Genomic DNA, 23,769 nt, shown 5'->3' with positions numbered 1-23,769 from the left:
GTGGGCTCTGCATTCACCCAGACTGAATTTGAACCTTGTGTCTACCACTGACCAGCAAGTAAGATGCACGATCACGGCCACGTATCTCTCTCAGCCTCAGTTTACACATGTGCAAAATGGCAAGAGTAGTAGTATCTCGAATGGTTGTTTTGAAGATAAAAATGTGACAATCCACCATCTTAGTCTGTTTGTGTTGCTATAACAGTAACTATAGACTGGGTAATTCATAAAGAACAGAAATTTATTCTTCACAGTTCTGGAGGCTGGAAGTCCAAGATCAAGGTGCCGGTTTCTGGTGAGGGCTGCTCTCTGCTTCTTTTTGTTTGAGATGGAGTCTCGCTCTGTCACCAGGCTGGAGTGCAGTGGCGCAATCTCGGCTCACTGCAACCTCCGCCTCCCGGGTTCAAGCGATTCTCCTGCCTCAGCCTCCCGAGTAGCTGGGACTACAGGTGTGTGCCACCATGCCCAGCTAATTTTTGTATGTTTAGTAGAGATGGGGTTTCACCATGTTGGTCAGGATTGTCTTGATCTCTTGACCTCGTGATCCACCTGCCTCAGCCTCCCAAACTGCTGGGATTACAGGCATAGAGCCACCGCACCCGGCCGGGCTGCTCTCTGCTTCTAAGATCTCACCTTGAATCCTGCATGTTCCAGAGGGAAGAAATGCTGTGTCCTCGCATGGCAGAAGGCAGAAGGGCAAAAAGGCCAAACTCCCTCCCTCAGGCCTTTTTATAACAGCATTAATCCATTCCCGAGGGCAGAGCCTCATGACCTAAACACCTCCCAAAGGGATCCATCTCCCAACACTGTTGTACTGCAGAGTAAGTTTCCAATACAGAAATTTGGGAGACACATTCAGATTACAGCATCCACTTAGTGATTGAGGGTAGTGCCCAGAATACAATCAACATGGAATAATCAATACATTTTTATTGCAGTCCTATCATGCTTTATGGTATTCAAAACACAGATCATTTCATTTGTTCCTCACAACCAAATTGGTAAGTTGGGACAGCAAGTAGCTTCTGATGAGATGAGAGAGGTAAGTAACAGAGACAGGGCTGGCTCCCTGGGTTCTCCTGTCATGTTAACAGCTCTTCCGCCACTCTGCAGGCTACTTTATCTTTACAAAGGCACAGCAATGTTAATACTCTGAGTCTTCTTGTGAAATAATAGCCATATTTATCCATAGCCCACAGGCAAACCCCATCCAGCCCACCTCTGTGAGAGGACAGGGCAGCCATCTATATGGGTAGGAATCCCACCAGGATCCGATTTGTCTTCAAAGGATGTCAAACCCCTGCTTGGTTGATTATTAAATCAAAGGTTCTGCCCTAAATCACCAGAGACTTACTAGAGATTCTTCCTTGAGAACAACCTCAAAATCATGGCTAGTAAACCTAAACAAATCAGAATATATTCAAGAAGTCTGAAAAATACAGCCCATTTAGTCCTCTCCACAAACCAAGCATTATCCTCACACAAAATCAGATCGTCAGAGAGCTTAAAGGCTCTGGCAGTATCCCCTGGGTGCACATGGAAGGACGCCAGTTTTTAAAATGACCACTAACATCTTTAAACAGCTTTGCCCACCCCATCTCATGGGGCCAATCAAGTGACCCCACAGGACACAGAGCTCAAGCTCCAGCGTCAAAGCTGTATTTGTCATACATACCTAATTCTAAAAACTTTTAGATATTGTTAATCTTGTAATTTATCACATCCCCTCTTTAACACTAGGATATAGAACAAAAATTTGAGCCCCAGCCCCACTGCCAAACACCTGTGCAGTTATAAAGCATGCACAACCATGTAGCTGGAGTTTCTTCTGACTGCCTTGCCGTTGCTTCCTTTCCTCTATGATTTATCACTTTTATCTCTAATTGCTTTGAATGTGTCTGTACAAATGGCTTCAAATCCTTTTTACATATTATGCTGGCAATTAAAAAGCATAAAAACTCTTGTCTTGGAGCTGGCAAATTCAGTCAATGGGTATTTGGTATGGTCTAAACGGTGATGTCCCCCCGCAAATTCACATGTTGAAACCTAGTCCCCAATGTGACAGTACTAAGAGGTGGGGCCTTTGGGGAAGTGATTAAGCCATGAGGGCTCCAGCCCCATGCACGGGCTTGGTGCCCTTATAAAAGAGACTGGAGGCAGCACTCTCGTCCTTCTCACGATGAGTGGGGACAAAAAGGCAGAGGGCAACCCTCACCAGATGCCGCATCTGCTGGTGCTCTAATCTTGGGCTTCCCAACCTCCAGAACTGTGAGCAATAAATTTCTGTTGTTTATTATAAATTACTCAGTGGTATTTAGTTATAGCCGACTGAACAGACAGAGACAGTATTTTTGCTGATAATTGAGAAAATAAAATTTAATGGGAAAGTTAATATCTTAAACAGCTCCACATGGATTTACCCAAAGATGTGTTCCTAAAAAGCTGGGTACATTTTAAAATCTCCAAATTAAAATGAAACTTAAAAGCATTAGAAAGACTAATACTTATAGGAATACTACGCTGGCTGCTATTATAACTTGCCAATTCTACAAAGCATATAAATTACTCCCTAACTTGTTTGTAAGTCTAGATAATTACATAGTTTCACTTATAAAAGGCAGACTGTATAATTTACAACATTAAACCAATAGTTATAAAATGGCATAAACTCCAGGGGAAGGGAAAGGCAATAAAATGATCTTACTGTGAACTTAATGCCTGGTTGTGATCGATTTCCAAGTTGTTTGATTTCTAGTCTAGCCAACATGCAAGATAATCGAGTAGGTGCAAATAATACAGAGATGAAAATGTCTTCCTTTGGGTGAATTCTGATCTCACAGTTACTGGTCAATCGCTGTTCTGAACCAAAAGTGTTCTGAAGCTACAATTTAAAAACAGTTAAATGCATAAAACAAAGCAGTAGCACAAATAAAACATACCATTAACACAGATTCTTAAAAGCTAAATAACACAAAAAGGTCTGCATATGCAAGTGTTCCAGACCCAGACAGAAGACATAACAAGAATCCACGTACTCTACGAACCTGAAAGCAGTCCTGATCTTGTCCTCTAATAAGCAGTCGTAAATGTTGAGTTGTAGATGCAGAATTATTTCTTAAAGCTAGTTTCTGAAGCCTAAAAACAATTAGACATTTTAAATATGGTTTTTCTCCATGGATATTGCTACCATTATAAGAATAAAGCCAATTAAAACCAACCACAATGTCTAGAGATGGACTAACTATACAAGCCATTTCAGTAGCCTGGAATTGTCTCCCCACAGTCCTAGGCTCTACGTTTCTGAAATTGTAGGCTCAAGACTCACCTTATAGAGGCTTTTTGGTTTAATCTCTCTCCAGTTATAGCTCTGCAGCTGACCTTATTATTAATACTATGTGTATAGGTATTATCTGTCATATAAAACATCAATCAATGAAAATCCAGGTGAAGAAATTCATCGAGTCATTAAGTCAATATCACACCTACCTGGAATACCTGGCTCAACCAAGCGAGCTTTCAGGGAAACAAGGGGTCCTAGGCTAAGAGGCTCATTTGCACAAAGTAGTCTTTTACACAGTATATTGAATTAACTCTACTTTTAAAGAAGCTACAATGCAAAAGAATGGACATAAAATAGCACCTGACTGATAAAAACACTTCAATTGTGGAAACTATGTGAATGCTGTCTTCATTGGAGAACAGAGAATACATGAGTAAATCTCTGTTTTACTCAAATTTGGGGAAGATCAGCAGCTAATAAATCAGCAGCTGAGGTCTACGTCTCATCCACCTTGTGTTAAGAGAAACGCAGACAACTTTGGCTATTGACATCTCCAGGAAAAGCCTTCCACAGGTACAATGACTGGGGAAGAATTACGTGAAAGAAACATTATTTTGTAAAGTTTTCATTCTCATGTATTTATTTAATAATTTGTAAAGCACTGTGGTTATCATTTTCAAGTATAGAGTTAGTTATCAGGTGGGATGGGAGAGGCTAGGTTTCCATAGAGTCATATCATCAGTTAAATGTACTCAAAAGTCAAGAACAAGCCAGTTATTGCTTGAGTGAAGTGTAACTGTTTCTGCCATAGGCTTCTGAGAGATGTTTCTTCCAGAGATACTTTTAAAGATAAACCTGTACAATACAGGGAGTCTCAAAAAAAAACAACAACAAACAATTTTACAGTAAATACTACCTCCCATTTCCTAAGGTACCCCTCTCCCTTCGGTGCTCCATTCGGTGTGGTCGGGAAGTATGACACCCAAGTCTGGTGCATTAAAAACACTTTCATGGGTTTTGCTAAAACTATGTGGTTGTTGACTGAGAAATTTAGATCATTTAGAAGAATGGATGTACTGCATATTCTCTATGCAGCTCTCCATAAATCTCTCTCTCAGCTGGCTTTTGAAAAATACAGAGTGGCAGTGAATTTAAGGGGATACTCCCTCCTCAGCAGTAACTGTATTGTTGGTCATGCGTCAGGTGCTCTTTGCAGGACTGGAATATATGTTAAAGAAAAGCTGAATCAGGACACGTGCCCATCTAGGTTTTTCCAGTTCTGCACAATTGAGCCTGAAGAGTGTCTATTATGACAAAATTTTCCTGCAAACATTAATTTGTAGTCTGCTCCAAAATATGTATAAATAGTGGACGATTTGTCAGTCTTTGACACTTACTGTGTTCTACCTAGAGGGACTCCTCCCCAAGCCAGAAATTGTTTGTTGGACAAAATCGATGGAATATCTAAGCAAGGTCCAGGTGACAGAGGTTTACTTCCTGAAGAAATGACTTCGCCTTTTAACACTACCTCATACTGAGGTCCAAATGGCTGCACAAATATTTTCAAGATCCTAAGAAAGAAAGAATTCTAAGTTGAAGGTCCTGTATTCAATTCTTTTCGCAACTATTTCCTATATGTTTCCATTGTCCAAAAGACTGAACTGGGTGCTGGGGATACAATGATATTCCCACCCTTAGAGCTTGTGCTGCAGAGAATACAGACAAGAAGAGAGATGATCACAATGGCATCTGCACAGGGGGGTGTGAGAAGCCATCGTGCTTTGGGAATGCTATTTATGAGACATTTGGGAGGAGTGGAGGAAAGTCTCCCAGAAGGCGCCAGCCCAGGGAGGTTGAGGGCTAGCATTCCAGGCAGAGGCATTCACACTGGTGCAGGCCTGACTCTCCTCTTCTGTAAGGTCACAAGAACAGACTGAGCACACGATAAAGTGTTCTATAACCCAGGCAGGGGGATAAGCCATGTGTGTCTCAGAGGAGAGTGTACTTTAAGCTAGGGTTACGCAAGCAAGCTCAGTACTCACGACAGTGGGGCTCTGACTCTAAGTTGATATTCACTTATGATTTGGGTGCCAAGAAGTCATGGGCTTGGAGAAGAAATGGAGAAAGATATCTTAATAGCTGACAAGGTCAACTAATAGTTTCAGGAGAAAAAGTGAGAAACATCAAATTGATCTTTTATTATTTACTTTTGTCAGAATATACTTGAAAATAGTAATTTATTCATTTCGATTCAGCTGGTTTAAAAGAAGATTTTTAGTCAAAAAAAGAGAAGACAATCTGAACCTAAATGAAAGGAGATTAAACAGAGTCACACCATGTATTAGGTAAGAAATATACGGACTTTGTCATTCAGGCTGTGGAATTTTGAAGCACATGTGAGTGGCTGTTTTGAGAGACAAGTAAAACTTTGTCATTAAAACTTTTTTTTTTTTGAGACGGACTCTCTGTCGCCCAGCCTGGAGTGCAGAGGTGTGATCTTGGCTCACTGCAACCTCCGCCTCCTGGGTTCAAGCGACTCTCCTGCCTCAGCCTCCTGAGTAGCTGAAACTACAGGTGCACACCACCAAGCCCTGCTAATTTTTGTATTTTTAGTAGAGACAGGATTTCGCCATGTTGCCCAAGCTGGTCTCGAACTCCTGACCTCAGGTAATCCACCCACCTCGGCCTCCCAAAGTGCTGGGATTACAGGCATGAGCCACTGTGCCCGGTCCATTATAACATTTTTATATTACCTTTCCTCGCAGGCTTCAGGATCCTTTGGAGTAAATGAAACAATAACCTCATGTTCTTCTCCAGGTTTAAGGAGTAGATTCTTTGGATCCACTGAAAAGTGACTTCCTTGTTCTGGGACCTAAATATAGTTACATAATCATAATTGAATGCCGACTTACAAAAACGCAGTTTTCGCTCAGTGGCTCCTGCCTTACGTGCGTTTCTCATTTACCAGGACAGGTTGTTTGTCCCCTTCTTGTCTGTCACGGTCTCAACTTGTCCTATTCTCTTGGAAAGGATATTTCTTTCTCTTCTACAACAAACCTTATCTTCCACCTCACCCACAATTTTGGATCACTAACCCCCTCTCATTCACCCTCAGGTCTCAGAAATGATGTCAACGTGTGCGGATCATTCTTCACCAACTCTAACCAAAGGGTGACATGCATGTTTTTCAGGAACTAATCTAAGAACTTGGTTCTCATATTCAAGACACTGAACTTTAAACTTAAAAAGCACCACAGCATATATTTTATGCTATATAACACCCAGTTTTTAAAAACTCTCAGCGATTCTTTCATCTGAGGTTCAGGGCACTCTGTTGGGCCAGGAAGAGCACAACAGCCTGCAGAAAGCAAGGAGCTCTCACAGTCTGAGGAAAGACTATCTTATGGCACTCTCATGGAAGTGCATACCTTGATATCCAAATAAACTTCAATGTTCCCAGCATTTTTCAAAGGTAAGTGCTGCTTTCTTGAGGAAGCCACTTTGGCCAAGAAATGCATCGTCTGGAGGATGGGGCAAGACAGACATTTCAACGAACTGTCACAAAGTGAAATCAGCATGAATGAAAGCAGTAACGGCAGAAAGGAGGACTGAGGCTACCTGCAAGTCCCTGGGAGCATGGATCCTAGCTATTCCTGCTCTTGCTCGGAGACTCACACTTCTAAGAACGGGCGTAGGGTTTGGGCTGTCAACTTCGATATCAACTTTTGCCGAGAATTCTTCTGCTGAGTCCAGAATATCTAAAAAAAAGTTCATTCTTTTAGCTTGGAGACCAGAGAGTTATTTAATTCTAAATGCCATCAGCAGTCCCACACAGTGCCCTTAGGGGCAATAAGAAAATTTAGGCAAGCAGATTTTTTAAAGAGTTAAAAGAATAGAAATGAGTGAAGAGAAAGGTGATAAAAGAAAGAAAACATCCAACTGGTAAATGTGATAAGATCAATTAACAGAAAATATTCTAAAAGGTTTTCAGTGCTATCTGCAGGAGTTACCCACACTTACACAGGATTGACCCAAAACAGCATGCCATCTGCCTCAATTTCAAAAAAACATAAAATAGTTGACAGATTTCGAAGTACTGACATTTATTGACAAAGGAAATACATCTCAAATTTGTAGTTTATCTAGCTACAGATTAAAGCAATTCCCACACAGTGTAAACATGATACCTGAAGAGCTGATCTGTTTCTTTGGACTATGGAAAAGAACCCAAATCATCAGAAATTCTGGATCCTATAAAATTAAAAGAAAAATTTGTCTTAATGTAAACTGGTATTAATATTACTATCTTAATGAAAGAAAAGAGGTTTAGAAGCTTAATTTCCTCTTTAATTCTAAGCCAGTTCTCTCCCACCTGTCCATCATAACTAGCAGGCATCATGTGGTTGACCACAGAAGGGCCTGCTAGCCGAGTGACCACATCAGCGCAAGGAGCAACTTCCACAGGAGCTCGGACGGATTCCTTGGAAAACGTGAAACAGCGCCAGGCTACAGCGTTCTGTTTAGAAATACAAGAATCAGTTCAGTAAAGCCAACAGTGTAATGCTAAGTTTGCTAACAAAATCCTTAAAAAAATGTACTTTCATAAGATCAGTGCATTCTGTAAATGGTTTCTTACTGTATGTTCATACTTACAGCATTAATAATCAGTCTAATTGGCACAGTGGCATGCGTTCGGTTTATCAATTTTAGTGGGAGGGCTTTCCAGCCTCCATAAGTCAAGTCACCAAAATCAAGAACGTCTTTCTTTTCTGTTTCTACCTAATTATCAAAAAAAGGGAATGATTTATGAAAAGCAATATATTAATAGCACAACATGTATGTTCATATCACTGCCATTTCTAGCCACAAATTATGAGTCAGCAGTAAGTAAAACTTACCTACATTTTCCCAGGCTATTTAACAATTGCTTATTTTCTACAAAAATAAATGTTAAATTCTTCTTTTGAGGTAGTCTATGTACCCAAATATACTACAGAATTCAGCTGCTGTTACTTTGAAAAGACTGTATCTTAAGATGAACTGATAATTTTATAAAATTATAGACCCCTTTTCAATGGGTTCTATTATTAGAATAACAACTTCTCAATTCCTTTTAAAAAGATCATGAATATCTTGGCATTTTCAGATTTAATCTGCAAATGTTAAAATGGTATCAAAACAGACATATCAAAAGTTTAAAACAAGTGCCTATGATCATGACAGACTCACTTCCCTAAATGCGGGAAACCAACCAAACTCAGACCCCTCACACACCCACATGTGGAAATGTTTGACAGTACAGGAACCCCCACCGGATATCAAAACTCGTGGATGTCCCCGATAGGAAATGTCATAGTATTTGCATATAGCCTAGGCACATCCTCCTGTATACTTCAAACACCTAACATAATGTACCTAATATAATGTAAATGCTATGTAAATAGCCATTATACTTTATTGTTAGAGAATAATGACAAGAAAAAAATGTCTGTACATGTTCAATACAGATGCAACTACCCCTTTTATTATTCTGAATATTTCTGATCCAAGGTTAGTAAAACACAAGAATGCAGAATCCACAGATACAGAAGACAGACTGTATTATACAGGCACACACACACACACACACACACACACACACACACAGACGTGCTCACATTTTGTTTTGCTCTAGCCAAACACAAAATAAGTAGAGATCAAAGGCAGACCAGTAAGTAGGAGCTGATTTCCATGGTGGCCCAGAAAGGTCTGGGTTCCAGACTTGCGCTCAAGGTGGTAGAGCTTTAATATGTTCCAGAGAACAGAAGATGTGACTTCAAGCTTGTTGTGAGCAGGGTGAGGCTCGAATGGAATTTGAAATCTGCATATAAAGCCCAGAAACTCAAAGGAATGAACTGAAAAAACTGTCCACATGTCTATGGAGTCAACAAGGAACCTGTCCAGAGAGGGGTGGCATAGAAGATTATTTGCAAGAACATGAAAGCCTACGCCTAGGCCACATGGGACATGGGAGCCCCAAGCTGAAAAAAATCACAAAGGCTTTTAACACCTCAAACATTTCTGCAAAAGTACTCTCAAGGGACGCTTCCAAAGACTAGGACACATCATTGGATTCCTAAAGCAAAAAGCAGCCTCAATGAATGTGAGCTCACATTAAAAATTTTTAAATATCAAAAAATCAGAAGCCACTAGAAGAAAATCAGGAAGACTCAGCAAAAGTAACTAGTAGAAGCGTTAGTAACCCAAGAACTAGAAACATGAAATAAACTTTGAAGTAAATTCACTTTAAATGTAGATAACAGAGTCCGTAACAAAGGGAAAAGCAAGAGATTCATGAAGCAATGGTTAGCAAAAAGATGTATAAATAGCTTGATAAATCTGTTAACAATGTTAATGTTGGGACTGTAAAAACTGTTTAGAACTAAAACATTAGTCAAAGGTAATATGGAAGGAAAAGATGAGCATTTAAATGAGATGCTGTCTTTATCTAGTTGAAGGAGTTTGCTTTAGTTAGACATCTCATTATTGAAGTTACATATTAATGTTGAAAGTAAACTATTTGAGTTCAGACGGTAACATGGCATTTTGAATATTGACTTCCTTTCTTGCAGGCTTGATTTGCCTGGTGACCGAATTACTAGTGACTAGTTTACTAACTAGGCCATTCAAGGACGTCGAGTTAACATAAAAGAAACATGTCACCTAAATGCACTTGATGGTGTTGAAATGTCCATCTTAAACTGTGTGATGAGATTAGTTCTAGAGAAGACACCAGGCCAACCCTGTAGTACCCCCAGTTTGTTGCAGAATCTCATGTTTTGGATGTTATATAAGAGTCCTATTTGCCCCAGTTAATTTAACTTTTTTCTGCCTGTCTTGTGGACTGGCTGGCTCTTTTAGAACTCTGTCCAAAGAGTGCATGGAATATAACTTGTAAAGCCTCCCACAACTGCCAGTATGTATGTGTGTGTGCTTAAACCAAATCTCAAAAGCTTACAATAGAGCTGCATAGGAATAGTATTGATTAAAGAATCACAATTGTACACATGAGCATAACTTATGGATTCTAGTTTAGTTCTTTTGTAACTGCAGACTATATTTTTGCTGTTGTTATATTAGAATAAGTTTTAAATGTCATCATGAAATAGAAATATGTATTTTAAGCACTCATGGAAAAAATGAACAATTTTTAAATGTGTGTTATTTTCTCCCTAAGAACTGTAAACATTAAACTAAACAAATTACCTATAATGGAAGCGATTAATGACCTCTGAGCAAGTTGGTTTGGCTGGAGAACATACACAAACTTTTATATACCACAGAATGCTATTACACTTGGGAAATTATCTTGTCTAACCTGAATTTACATCCCATGGTGATAACATGGTATATGTATTGTTATTAAAGTAAGTGACCATGTTTAAAAAAAAAAAACAACTATTAGAACTGATTAAAAAACTTTCAGTAAAATTACAGAATACAAAATTAACATATAAAAGTCAGTAGCATTTCTATATGCCAGCACTGAACTATGTGAAAAAGAAATTTAAAAAGTAATCCCATTTACAATACCACACATAGAATTAAATACCCAGGAATTAACTTAATCAAAGAAGTAAAAGACCTCTATAATGAAAAGTATAAAACACTGATGAAGAAAATTGAAGAGGACACAAAAAAATAGAAAAACATTCCATGTTTACAGACTGGAACAATCAACATTGTTAAAACGTCCATACTACCTCACAGAAATAGAAAAACAAAATCTTAAAATTTACATGGAACCACAAAAGACCTAGAATAGACAAGCTATCCCAAGCAAAAAGAATAAAACTGGAGGAATCACATTACCTAACTTCAAATTATACTACAGAGCCACAGTAACCAAAACAGCATGGTACTGGCATAAAACCAGATACACAGACCAAAGGAACAGAATAGAGGACCCAAACACAAATCCACACACCTACAGTCAACTCTTTTTTTTTTTTTTTTTTTGAGATGGAGTCTCACTCTGTCGCCCAGGCTGGAGTGCAGTGGCACAATCTCGGCTCACTGCAAGCTCCGCCTCCCGGGTTCACGTCATTCTCCTGCCTCAGCCTCCCAAGTAGCTGGGACTACAGGTGCCCGCCACCACGCCTGGCTAATTTTTTGTATTTTTAGTAGAGACGGGGTTCAACTGTGTTAGCCAGGATGGTCTCAATCTCCTGACCTCGTGATCCACCTGCCTTGGCCTCTCAAAGTGCTGGGATTACAGGCATGAGCCACCGTGCCCGGCCTACAGTGAACTCATTTTTGACAAAGGTGCCAAGAACATACACTTGGGAAAAGACTGTCCCTTGAATAAATGGCGCTGGGAAAACTGGATATCCATATGCAGAAGAGTGAAACTAGACTCCTGTCTCTTGCCATATATAAAAATCAAATCAAAATGGATTAAAAACTTAAACCTAACAGCTCAAACTATGAAACTACTACAAGAAAACACTGGGGCCAGGCACAGTGGCTCACGCCTGTAATCCCAGCACTTTGGGAGGCTGAGGTGGAGGGATCACAAGGTCAGGAGATCAAGACCAGCCTGGCCAATATGGTGAAACCCCATCTCTATTAAAAATACAAAAATTAGCCAGGCGTGGTGGTGCATGCCTGTAATCCCAGCTACTCGGGAGGCTGAGGCAGGAGAACAGCTTGAACCCGGGAGGCAGAGGTTGCAGTGAGCCGAGATCACGCCACTGCAATCTAGCCTGGGTGACAGAGCGAGACTCCATTTCAAAAAAAAAAAAAAAAAATTGGGGAAAATCTCCAGGACATTGATCTGGGCAAAGACTTCTTGAGCAATACCCCACAAACGAAGGCAACCAAAACAAACATGGACAAATGGGATCACATCAAGCTAAAAAGCTTCTACCCAGCAAAGGATGCAATCAACAAAGTGAAAAGACAACCCACAGAATGAGAGAAAATATTTGCAAACTACCCATCTGACAAGGGATTCATAACCAGAATATATAAGGGGCTCAAACAACTCTATGGGAAAAAATCTAATAATCCAATCAAAAACTGGGCAAAATATTTGAATAGACATTTCTCAAAGGAAGACATACAAATATCAAATGGGCATATGAAAAGGTGCTCGACATCACTGATCATCAGAGAAATGCAAATCAAAACTACAATGAAATATCATCTTACCCCAGTTAAAATGGCTTATATCCAAAAGACGGGCAATAACAAATGCTGGTGAGGATGTGGAGAAAAGGGAACCCTCGTACACTGTTGATGAGAATGTGAATTAGTACAACCACTATGGAGAACAGTTTGGAGGTTCCTCAAAAAACTAATAATTGAGCTACCATGTGATCCAGCTATTCCACTGCTGGGTAGATACCCAAAAGAAAGGAAATCAGTATATTAAAGAGATATGTTTATTGCAGCACTGTTTACAACAGCTAAGATTTGGAAGCAACCTAAGTGTTCATCAAGAGATGAATGGATAAAGAAAACGTGGTACATATACACAATGGAGTACGATTCAGCCATAGGAAGAATGAGATCCAGTCATTTGCAACAACATGGATGGAACTGGAGATCATTATGTTAAGTGAAATAAGCCAGGCACAGAAAGACAAACATCACGTTCTCACTTATTTCTGGTTTCTAAAAATCAAATCAATTGAACTTACAGACATAGAGAATAGAAAGATGGTTATGAAAGGCTCAGAAGGGTAGGGGTTGGGGGTGAGGTGGGGATGGTTAATGGGTACTAAACAAATAGAAAGAATGAATTAAGACCTACTATTTGACAGCACAATAGGATGACTATAGCCAATAATAATTGTGCATTTTAAAATAACTTAAAGTATGTAACTGGATTATTTGTAACTCAAAGGATAAATGCTTGAGGGGATAAGCTATTCTCCATGATGTGCTTATTTCACACTGCATGTCTGAAACAAAACATCTCATGTACCCCATAAATATATACACCTATTTAGGTACCCACAAAAAATTTTTTAAATAAAAGAAAAATTTTAAATTAAAAAAAATTCCATACCACTCCAGAATGATTAAAAAAAAAAAAAATCTAACAGTACCAAATGTTAGCAATAACAGGAACCTGCACACATTTCTTCTAGGAATGTAAGTTAGAGAGCAAATTGGCAATATCTAGCCAAAATAAAGGTGCATATACTTTAAACTGTAACATTTGTATTATGTACCTGGGAGACGCTTTATCACGTTGAGAAAGTAATCTAACAGTTTCTATGCATGTGGCCTCTATATAAAATTCCTGAATGCTCTCTCACAGGGAATGTTGTTCTCTAGTCAAATCCTACTGAACCATCAGGGCCTAATTCCTCTAGTTCCACTCCTCCAAGAAGGCAGCTTTTAACTGGCTTAACACTGAACTATTCCCTACACCAGTGGTTCCCAAACTTGTCTGTTTGTTGGACTCAAAGCTCAGACACAGACATCAGTAGTTTTTGAAGTTCATCAGGTGATTCCAATGAGCACACCAGTAGGGAACCACTGCCTTCTACTACCAAACACCACTGATATATGTGAGCCGCTCGGGACACAGCAATGCCAAATATTGCATAAATGTGATTTATCATGTCTGCTACAGAAAGGTAAACTGCTTAAAGGTAGGCTCAACAGTCTGATATAGTGAAATGTATTTAAATGCAGGAGGTTAATAACACCAGTTCTCAGTGGTTCCTACCAGGGATGGCTTGACCATGTTTGGAGACGTTACTGGTTATCACAGTGGGGAAAAGGGTATTACTGACACCCAGTGGGTAGAGGCCAGGGCCGCTGCTAAACATCCTACACTGCACAAGACAGCCTTTCCCACCCTCAAAAAATCTTCTAGCCCAAAATGGCAGTAGTGTTAATGCTAAAAATCCTTGACCTAAAGAAAAGCAAGCAGAGCAGAGCTGACTGAGAAGTATATAAAATGGCACTTAGCCAAAAAGAAAAAGATCACTAAAAGTTTATAATATGTGCAAATATCAACATAAGAACACAGGAACACAAAAACATGGAAAAAAAACTTTATAAAGAACATTTCCAATCAAATTCCTCCTCCATGCCCTAGAAAATAAAGTCGTTGAGCTAGGTTACTAAGCATTCCCCTAGAGAACGTGTACTGTGGGGAAAACACTGGTGATTCTCACCTGTCTCCCAGAGTGGCTGCCCTGTGTCTCATCCCCAACACCTACCTCTAAACTGCAAGTCACAGTTACAGCTTTGTGGAATGAAAAAACTAATTAACTTTATTTTTTTTCAGGCAGAGACTTGCTCTGTTGTCCAGGCTGGAGTGCAATAGCGTGACTTCAGCTCACTGTAACCTCCGCCTCTCAGGTTCAAGCAATTCTCCTGCATCAGCCACCTGAGTAGCTGGGATTACAGGCGCCCGCCACCACACCTGGCTAATTTTTATATTTTTACTAGAGACAGGGTTTTGCCATGTTGGCCAGGCTGGTTGCTAACTCCTGACCTCAGGTGATCTGCCCGCCTCGGCCTCCTAAAGTGCTGGGATTACAGGCATGAGACACCACATCTGGCCTGAAACAACTAATTAACTTTAGGAGGAAATCAGTAACATCTGTTAAGTGTGGTTAGCTAAATATGTTAAGTTCAATTCACATATTAGGAAATTAGTTCATTTTTTTTTTTTCCTTTTAAGACTGGGTCTCGCTCTGTTGCCCAGGCTGGAGTGTAGTGATGTGATCATAGTTCACTATAGCCTCAAACTCCTGAGCTCTAGTGATCCTCTCACCTTAGCTTCTTGAGTAGTTGGGATCACAAGCATGCACCACCACACCCAGCTGATTTTTAAAATTTTGTGTAGAGACATGGTCTCACTATGTTGTCCAGGCTGGTCTCGAACTCCTGGGCTCAAGCAATCCACCCACCTTGACCTCTCAAAGTGCTGGGATTACAGGTGTGTGCCAGTGCCCAGGTGAAATCAACTAATTTTTAATTAAAGTCACATGCTACATAATGATGTTTTGGTCAATGATGGACTGTATACAGGACAGTGATCCCATAAGATTATAATGGAGATGGAAAATTCCTAACACCTTGTGATATAGCCATCATAACATCATAGTATAATTTCTTTTATGAATTTGGTGTAGCCTAAATGTACAGTGTTTATAATGTCTCCAAGTGTGTACAGTAATGTCCTAGGCCTTTACCACTGACTCACAGAGAGCAACTTCGAGTCCTCTGGTAAGTGCCCTATAAAATGTACCATTTTTTAAATCTTTTATAATGTATTTTTTCTGTACCTTTTCTATGTTTAGCTATAGAAACACTTATCATGGTGTTACAACTGCCCTACAGTATTAAGTACAGTAACAAGCTGTATGGGAACAATGGTACATAGCCTAGGAACAATGGACTATCCCATAAGGTCTAGGCGTGCAGAAGGCTGTGCCATCTAGGTTTGTGTAAGTACACTCCGTGATATTCACACAATGACAAAATTGCCTAAGGACACATTTCTCAGGGCATATCCCTATTGTTAAGCGACTCAGGACTGTATCAAGACCTGTTCTGCTTTTCCTCTATTCTGCACCCTCCCATCTCTCCCTCTCACATTCCTTAATTTTTTTCAATGTTAGTTCTGATTTCACTATCAACTAAGAGGAGATAGCTCTTGTAAAGCAGTGGTTGTTAACTAAGGCTATGATTTGTAATCATCTGGGAAGATTTGAAAATTACCGAGAGGCAGCCACACCCTCCCTCGCTCTGATTTAGTCAGTCTAAGTGGGACTCAGGTATTGGGGTACATTTAGAAGCCCCCAGTGTTATTCCAATGTGCAGCCATGGTTGAGAGTCATCATCCTAAATGAGCATATAATCCAATGACCACTTATTATCCCAACTTGGCCAGACCTAATTTCTTTGGCTTCCAGAAAATAGGTGACTAGAGAAGGGAAACTTTTCTAGCTGACAAATAATCTCCAGGTACAGAAATATAAAAAGAATATGAACCACTGGCATGTTGCTAAGTGCACATCTAATAATACAATGGAAATCAGTGGAAAATAGTGTTTAACCTTATACTCTGCTTTATAGATATCTAAGCAAGTATACTTGTGTTACTGTAAAACTAAAAATAATTTTAAATTTTGAAATAAAAAGATATTAAGAACCAAAGTTCAGCTTGAAACTAATTTTGTGGCACCTTCGTCCACAAATTTCTTTTTCCCAAATTTTACTTCTAAGGTTAAACAGTCTTCTTTAAAATGCCAGGTATGACAAAGATTCATTTTCAAACAGGTACCTCAATAACAGGACTCTCGGCAATGGCAGTGAGAGTGACGGTGCTGGCCAAAGCTTCTGCCTGTACGATGGTCTCAGCATCTGTCGAACATGGCCAAGAAGCAACACTGAATGTGCATCTGAAAACCCCAGGACTGGATGGTATAAAAAGCACTTTTATCTCTTCTGTGGCATGAGGTCTTATGATGGCTTTATTCTTGAAAACTAAACAACGATATGTTGAAAGATCCACCTTCAAAAAAGAGCCATAAAGTTCGTTATTAATGGCTTCACACTGAAAATCAAGTAGAATCACCTAGTTTAAGATTCCTTTTCCCAATCACTCAAACTGCCAAATTAAAACATTTATTATCTCTTCAAAAATGTCAAAACCTTGTCATTTATGGTCTCTGAAGTACAACGAGTCAAATGCTTCCTGAGTTGAATGTTCTTGCTGCACCAAGGCTGTCTCCCCAGTCCACCTCCAAGCAAGCACATTGACCCTTACACTCACTTGTCTTAAAAAGGACACTGACAAAGGTCACTCTTTCACAGCCCTGTAAGTCTCTCTAGCACACACAACACAGCAGTGGGTGGGGGCTGGGGGGAAGAAGAGTCAGGCTAACCGCTGAGGTCCCACAGCCCTGACTCCGCCTCGACTGCAGTGACAACTCCAGCCACCCTCCCTCCTCACTGTCAATGGGGATCTTCTTTTCTACTCCCCACTTCCATAGACAACACTGCTTCATTCACAGACTCCAGGATGCCCCCAAAAAGTCTTCACAGCCCACCTTCCACCCTCAATCCTCTCCTTCAATCACCTACTTTTCATCTAACCTAAGGACTGGAAGTAGAGGGGAAAAGCCAAGACGGCGTAGGGGGAGGCGATCTTATTTTACCAGGCAGACGATGGCCACTAAGAGGCACGAGGGAAGCATCCACCAATACTGATTCACAAGTAACAGTCGTAAAACTGGGACATTTCAAAACAGCTGCTGACCATATATCCCCCCTCTCCACTCACCAATGTTCAAATGGTCACTGTAACCAGGAGAGAAGATTTAGAGTCTAGAATTATAGCAACTGTAATTGATCATGTAAGAGACATCTGTCTTAAAAGTTCATATTAAAACTGCATTTCCAGGTATTTCAAAAGCTCATGTAAGAAAATCATCAGATAAACTAGTTAAAAAGACTTCCCTTGCCAAATGAAGGCATAAGCTCCAAGAGTAACTGCTTTCTTTTTTTTTTTTTACAAGTCATGGTTACTTATATTCAATCACCTTTAACAAAACTGACAAGTAGAAACAAGAAACTCAGAACTTTTGATGATTTAAATAATAGCACTAAAAGCAAATTTATAGGAATTTACCAATAAATAACAATAAAATATAAATAATAAATGATGGAAAATGCAAAACTGTTTCACTTTACACTCTACAAGCACTACAACAAAAGGGGTCTGAGAGAAAGATACCATGGCAATGACTGTGTGCATTAATAAAGGCGTGAAGGGAGAACCTAGCACTAGAGATGGGGGAAATCAAGCACCTAATCACAATGCAACTGTTAGGTTAAATGAGAAAGACATAGAAAGCTACCTTTTCACCATTAACACTAATGCTGAGGACCCCAATGCTGACTTGCAGCCAGCGGTCAGTTGGATTAAGCACACTGAGGAGGGTCTGGGAAGCGATCCCGACACAGCAAGCATGAGGAAGCTTCAACTCCTCGGGCACTCGGACACTCCCTGGGTGAGAATAAGGCACAGTCAAAAATGCAAGTTACAGCAAACCCCTGATTATAAGCCAAATCTGTTAAATGGCAATGAGTTTATAAGATGGCCTGTTTACACAGAGCTAGAGTCAAAGTGCTCCAGATGAAGGAGTCCTTGATGTTGCATGAGCCTCAGAGGCCTGCCAACAATTTTTTCCTGCTTCCATCCAGCGCAGGAAAAGAAAAATTAAAATTGGATCAAACTCACAATTACGGCTAATCAATTCTTTGAGGTTACTGCCTGTAAGTAATCTCCTTTTCTCTCATAAATTGTAAGTCATTCTTATCCTAAAAAAAAAAACAAACAAAAAAAACCTCCAGAGGCTTTAACTTTCCAGATGTGGACACGTATCAGATTTTAATACCACCACCTATGTTCCAACATCCTCATGCAGTTGCTCCGGAGGGCAGAGAAGACAGCACCCCAGTGGCCGTGTGCACCATGTCAGTAAAAGCACAGCTCCCAGAGAGAAGCTGCCCCACAAATGCACCCGAGAGTGCTGCCTCTCCACCACAGCAGCCACCCAGAGACTCACAAGGTGGAGGCACTCACTCATTCTGGGATTCAATTCTAAACTGGACATTTCCTAGGGGAAATAATCACAAAACTGGAATGGCAGAGCAAAAGAGAGATAAGGAAGACAGAGCCATAGGCAGCCTGTCACCTGCATAAGTGTAGCGTTTTTCTAAGCCAACTTTAGGGACGCTTGCACAGAAATACACGGTGTTCTCAGTTTAGGAAGAAGCACAAAACTTACAAGGAATTAATGCTAACCAGTAACTCCTTGAAACAAACTAGCTTTGTGGTGTCATTTGAGAAAATAATAGCAAGTAATAATAATAGAGAAAAAGCATCTTACCCAATCCTGATGTCACTCCTGAATCCCATGGTTCAATTCCACAGTTTGTACCAACAGACGGCACAGGAAAAGGTTTTGTTGTGCTTAGCAGGTTCTGATTTAAGGTATTAGAATATGGGTTACAGAGGGAAGAGGTACCCATCCATCCAGAGCCGATATTTGATCCTAGACAAATTCCCACAGCCACAGAGTTCTGCACAGGCTCTCCTGCAACAGCTGGATAGGGAAGGCCTCCTGAGAAGCCACAGACTGTGGCATTGCCAGCATGGCACTGAGGCAAGGTGGTGCTTCCAGTTGAAGGGAGTGTTCCCAAATACCGCTGAGCAAAAGGAGCAGCGCTGAGAGAGGGTTGTGTCAAGAGTGCGTGCACAGCAGCAGGCATGTTCTGCATGTCAGCCACAGAGCTGTGAACTGTGCTGCTGGGAATAGGAGTACACTGGTTTTCAGAGGTGGTCTGATGAGAAACCTGGCCACTGAACTCACGGCCAGCAGTTGACTTATCTTTAGGACTTATTCTTTGATCTTCATCTATAGGCTCCTGGCAGGACACAGGGTGTGATGTGGCTGACCCCACCTGACAGCTCAGACCTGACTTGCCCAGGAGAGCCAGCCTGATCGGGTCCAATTCCTCAGGGTTTGATGTCCAACCTACCTCACTGGTTTCCAACAGATTTCCACTTTTGGAGGAAGGATCTTTACTCCATCTAAAGTCAGGTTTTACATATTCAGGCTTGCTACTCAGAGAAGTAGTTTCAGTTGCTTTTCTTGTATCAGAGTTATTCTGGATAATAGATGATAATGTTCCTTTTCCTCTATTCTGAAATGGAACTTTTTCTCTCAATTTTTCCATAGCCCGTTCCTCCAATGCGGCTGGACTGCCTTGAATAATTGTGGTACTCAACTCGCTGGTGATATCACTCTGAGTGCAACAAAATTTGTTTTTAATAATCCACAGATAAACTTAATATAACAAATTGAAACATGCTGGCAAAAGCTCAAGTAACAAAGAGATGTGCATGAGGTGTCTCTTTGAAAAAAAATTGGTTTACACAAAAATAGTAGTCTTGCAGTTGTGAAATGCAGACTTAAATTAGAAAATTTGTGCTTGTTGTTTTGTAAAAAGAATTATACCATGAGGAAAATAAATAGGAGGTATACACTAAGAATATCTGAAAATTTTGCACAGATAAACGACCAGAGTCTAGTAACTTTTTGAAGATTTAAGGGATTTCTGTAAACTTTACAAAAAAATCCAAATAAATTAGTAACGAAGGAGTGGGGGCTGAGCAAGCTTGAAACGGTAACAACTTTGAGGTCAGGCGGCGGCTCAGCAGGCTGGCAGGGCCCCACCCCACCATCTGTCCATGCTACTGCCTGGGCTTGAAGATTCAAAGACGTTAACTTTTTTTTTTTTTTTTTGAGACAGAGTCTCGCTCTTGTTGCCCAGGTTGGAGTGCAATGGCGCAATCTCGGCTCACTGCAACCTTCGCCTCCCTGGTTCAAGCCATTTTCCTGCCTCAGCCTCCCAAGTAGCTGGGATTACAGGCACCCGCTATCATGCCCAGCTAATTTTTTGTATTTTTAGTAGAGACAGGGTTTCACCATGTTGGCCAGGCTGGTCTTAAACTCCTGACCTCAGGTGATCCGCCTGCCTCAGCCTCCCAAAGTGCTGGGATTACAGGTATGAGCCACCACACCCGGCCAAAGATGTTAACTTTTATGTGTTCTAAGCCCTCTCCCATTTCTAAACTTGTGTGGCTCTATGAAGCATGAAGTTAACAGTCCTGGTAAATGTCCACACTCATTTGTTTGTACATAATGCATAATCTGAGGAGTGACATCTGCAGCTCTGCAGGATGGACCAGCTGAAATTTACAGACTAGATAGACGTAACCTTCACTGATTGCTTTGGTACTTGGTTTATAAATTTCTCCTGGCCAAAGCTTCAGAAATAAAGACACTAAGAAACAAAGACTATATTATTTGCCAATTAATAATAACAAATAATATGTATCCAGTGGTGACTTACTAGGTGACAAGCACTGCCCTCACATACTATTCCTCCTTACAGATGAAGAAACAGGTTGAGGGAGGTTTAGTAATCTGTCTGAGGAGGCAGCAGAAGATAAGTTATCTGACACCATAACCCAGCTCTCAACCACTATGCTAAGAACATGCAGACTCAGTATCTAACAACAACATGAAAAAGACAGCTTTCAAAGAAAGGGGTGTAATGCTCTCACACTACGCTGTGTATTCAGTAACTCTTCAGTGGCTTGGTGGAGGAAGACTATGCAGCATCCCCACAGCAGTCACAGTTAGCTCATCAAAAAACTGCACACTGTCACATCCACAACGTCCACACACGAAAATAGCTAATACTAGCTTCTCCCACATAAATCTCTCTGATCTTCTATTCTATTCCCACTGCTACTGTCTTGGCCCAAGCGTGCACTGTCTCTTGCCTGAACCACTACAGTGGCCTCATGTCAAATCTCCTATTTTAATTTTGCTCCTACTGTTCCCTCCTTCCTCATTGCTGTTGGAGTGAGCTTTTAAAACATCAAACCAGCCTGGGCTTGGTGGCTCATGCCTGTAATCCCACCACTTTGGGAGGCCAAGGCAGGAAGATCGCTTGAGGCCAGGAGTTCAAGACCAGCTCTGGCAACATAGCAAGACCCCATCTCTAAAAAAATTTGTTTTAATTAGCCAGATGTGGTGGTAGGCACCTGTAGTCCCAGCTACTTGAGAGGCCGAGGCAGAAGGAACACCTGAGCCCAGGAGTACAAGACCAGCCTGAGCAACATGGCAAGAAGCTGTTTCTACAAAAAAAAATGAAAAATTAGCCAGGTGTGGTAGTGCACACCTGTAGTCCCAGCTACTTGGGAGGCTGAGGCAGGAGGATCCCTTGAGACCAGCGGTCCCAGGCTGTAGTGAGCTGTGATCGTGCCACCATACTCCAGCCTGGGTGACAGAGCGAGATCGTCTCTAAAAAATACAAAAACAAAACAAAATCAAAACAGATCATGACAGTGACCTGCTAAAAAGCCTTCAAACTCCCGTATTTTAAACCCAGCACCCTTCCCGGTTTGGTCCCCCCTCTTCTAGCCTCATACACTTCTCCCTATTGACATGATTCACTGTGGCCGTTCTAAACTTCCTGGAGTGCCCAGATGCAGTTTGTATCTTACAACTCTCCACCTCCCCATGTGTTAACTCTGCTTCCCCGCTGCCTAACTCCTAGCAGTCCTGCACGGTGTGGCTTCAGTGTATTTATCCCTGCAGAAACCTTTGCTGAAGCAAAGGCAGTCAGACTTCCAACCACCACCTTCTGAGTCCCCATAGTATGCGCGCAGCATGATGCACTTCATTACACAGCGTGCCTCACCAGACAGAGCTCTTCAAGGGCAGATCCTAAAATGTTTGTACCTCTGTGTCTACCAGCATGAGTAGGTATTTAATATGTGCACACAAATACAAAAATCATTTTAAAGATAAAAGAGCAACACTGAAGTTATATAGGCTTGAACTGTAGTCTGAATCAAACATCTGTTAACACTTTTAAGAGTTGAAAGCCTTAGTAATAAATAATCCAAGTGGCTGCCCACCTTGCGGTCCTCCAGGGCATCATCTGTGGCTGTGGTAGGATAGGAGCTCTCTGGTTCAGACACATACGTCAGCCTGCTCACCCCAGCAGGCGAGCACACCAAGGGAGACAACTCCTGCTCACAGGGAGGCTGCTGCTGCTGAGCTGCTGAACCAAAGGACTCTAACGCACACCTGAAAGAGAAGAGTAGCTCACACCTGGAGTTCTCCAGTCCTTCAACTATCTACATTAGCAAAAAACCATTCCTATGGGCCTACAATCTTGCAAATGACTCAACCACAAATTCAATGTTTACACTTAATTATCTAAAATTGTAAAGAATATTCCCATTGAATGAAGCATCTGTTAAACTAGTGTAAAATGTATTGTGGCATTTTCATTAATAAATACCATATAAAGACACACAGCAATTCATTATTAGCAATTAGCTATTCATGCTATAAAAATCTGCTAAGTATCTGATATAGAGAAATGAACAGAAGATTCCAACCCTCAACGAGCAAAGAGGAAAAAAAATCATGCAGATAAGTGCAAAGAAATGGGAACAGTCACACACCACTGTGGGACTATCAAGTGGTACAACTTTTGGTTGAGCAATTAAGCAGTACATATCAAAGGCCTCTTGACTCAGATATTCTACATTTAGGAATTTATCCTGAGAAAAAAAATTAATGATAAATATAAAGACTTCACAAAAAGGACATGTCCACATCACTGTGGACAAAAAGTAGGAAAGCTTAAATCAGACAGGAGGAACTGAGCTACAGAAATTAGAGCACAAACATGCAATACAACACTATGCAGCCATTCAAAAGCATGCTGTTCTAGCCTTGGTTCAGAAAGATGTCCCTGCTACACAACGTAAAATGAAAAGATCAGGAAGTGACAAATAGTGAGTCTCACATCTATCTGCACAAACACCAGGGTTACTTCCTCATTATTCTGTTCATTAAGCACCTTTCACAGGGCTG

The 23,769-nt window shown here is 40.8% G+C and overlaps 1 protein-coding gene across 27 annotated transcripts in view, besides 2 other annotated features; it reads right to left on the bottom strand.

Moving 5' to 3' along the window:
* Positions 1 to 23,769, bottom strand: part of CEP192 (centrosomal protein 192) — a 133,675-nt gene that overhangs the window by 49,147 nt on the left and 60,759 nt on the right. For 19 of the 27 annotated variants that reach the window (XM_006722326.4, XM_005258107.4, XM_047437562.1 and 16 more), the window contains 13 exons: positions 22,800 to 22,971; positions 19,192 to 20,110; positions 18,157 to 18,305; positions 16,578 to 16,808; positions 7,934 to 8,059; positions 7,653 to 7,796; positions 7,468 to 7,531; positions 6,899 to 7,038; positions 6,709 to 6,801; positions 6,034 to 6,152; positions 4,678 to 4,851; positions 3,045 to 3,135; positions 2,705 to 2,881 (listed from right to left, as the gene is read on the bottom strand). In XM_006722326.4, the coding sequence (XP_006722389.1) occupies positions 2,705 to 2,881; positions 3,045 to 3,135; positions 4,678 to 4,851; positions 6,034 to 6,152; positions 6,709 to 6,801; positions 6,899 to 7,038; positions 7,468 to 7,531; positions 7,653 to 7,796; positions 7,934 to 8,059; positions 16,578 to 16,808; positions 18,157 to 18,305; positions 19,192 to 20,110; positions 22,800 to 22,971 (2,599 nt within the window). Of the gene's footprint in view, positions 1 to 2,704; positions 2,882 to 3,044; positions 3,136 to 4,677; positions 4,852 to 6,033; positions 6,153 to 6,708; positions 6,802 to 6,898; positions 7,039 to 7,467; positions 7,532 to 7,652; positions 7,797 to 7,933; positions 8,060 to 16,574; positions 16,809 to 18,156; positions 18,306 to 19,191; positions 20,111 to 22,799; positions 22,972 to 23,769 lie in introns of those variants that run through there. The other 8 variants (XM_047437564.1, XM_011525673.3, XM_047437565.1 and 5 more) reach the window with 2 other exon arrangements.
* Positions 6,147 to 7,346: an enhancer, noted in NCBI's record as "BRD4-independent group 4 enhancer chr18:13068543-13069742 (GRCh37/hg19 assembly coordinates)". NCBI's record gives its function as "activates an origin of replication core promoter dependent on BRD2, P300/CBP, MED14 and CDK7 cofactors, and independent of BRD4, by STARR-seq in HCT116 cells {active_cell/tissue: HCT116}" and the evidence as "EXISTENCE:reporter gene assay evidence [ECO:0000049][PMID:35650434]".
* Positions 13,733 to 13,944: a silencer, noted in NCBI's record as "fragment chr18:13061945-13062156 (GRCh37/hg19 assembly coordinates)". NCBI's record gives its function as "represses an EF-1alpha promoter that drives an FKBP-Casp9 reporter gene in an ReSE screen in K562 erythroleukemia cells {active_cell/tissue: K562}" and the evidence as "EXISTENCE:reporter gene assay evidence [ECO:0000049][PMID:32094911]".

The sequence above is a fragment of the Homo sapiens genome, chromosome 18, assembly GCF_000001405.40.
Source record: "Homo sapiens chromosome 18, GRCh38.p14 Primary Assembly".
NCBI lineage: Eukaryota > Metazoa > Chordata > Mammalia > Primates > Hominidae > Homo > Homo sapiens.
This window is presented reverse-complemented; position numbering and strand designations above follow the sequence as displayed.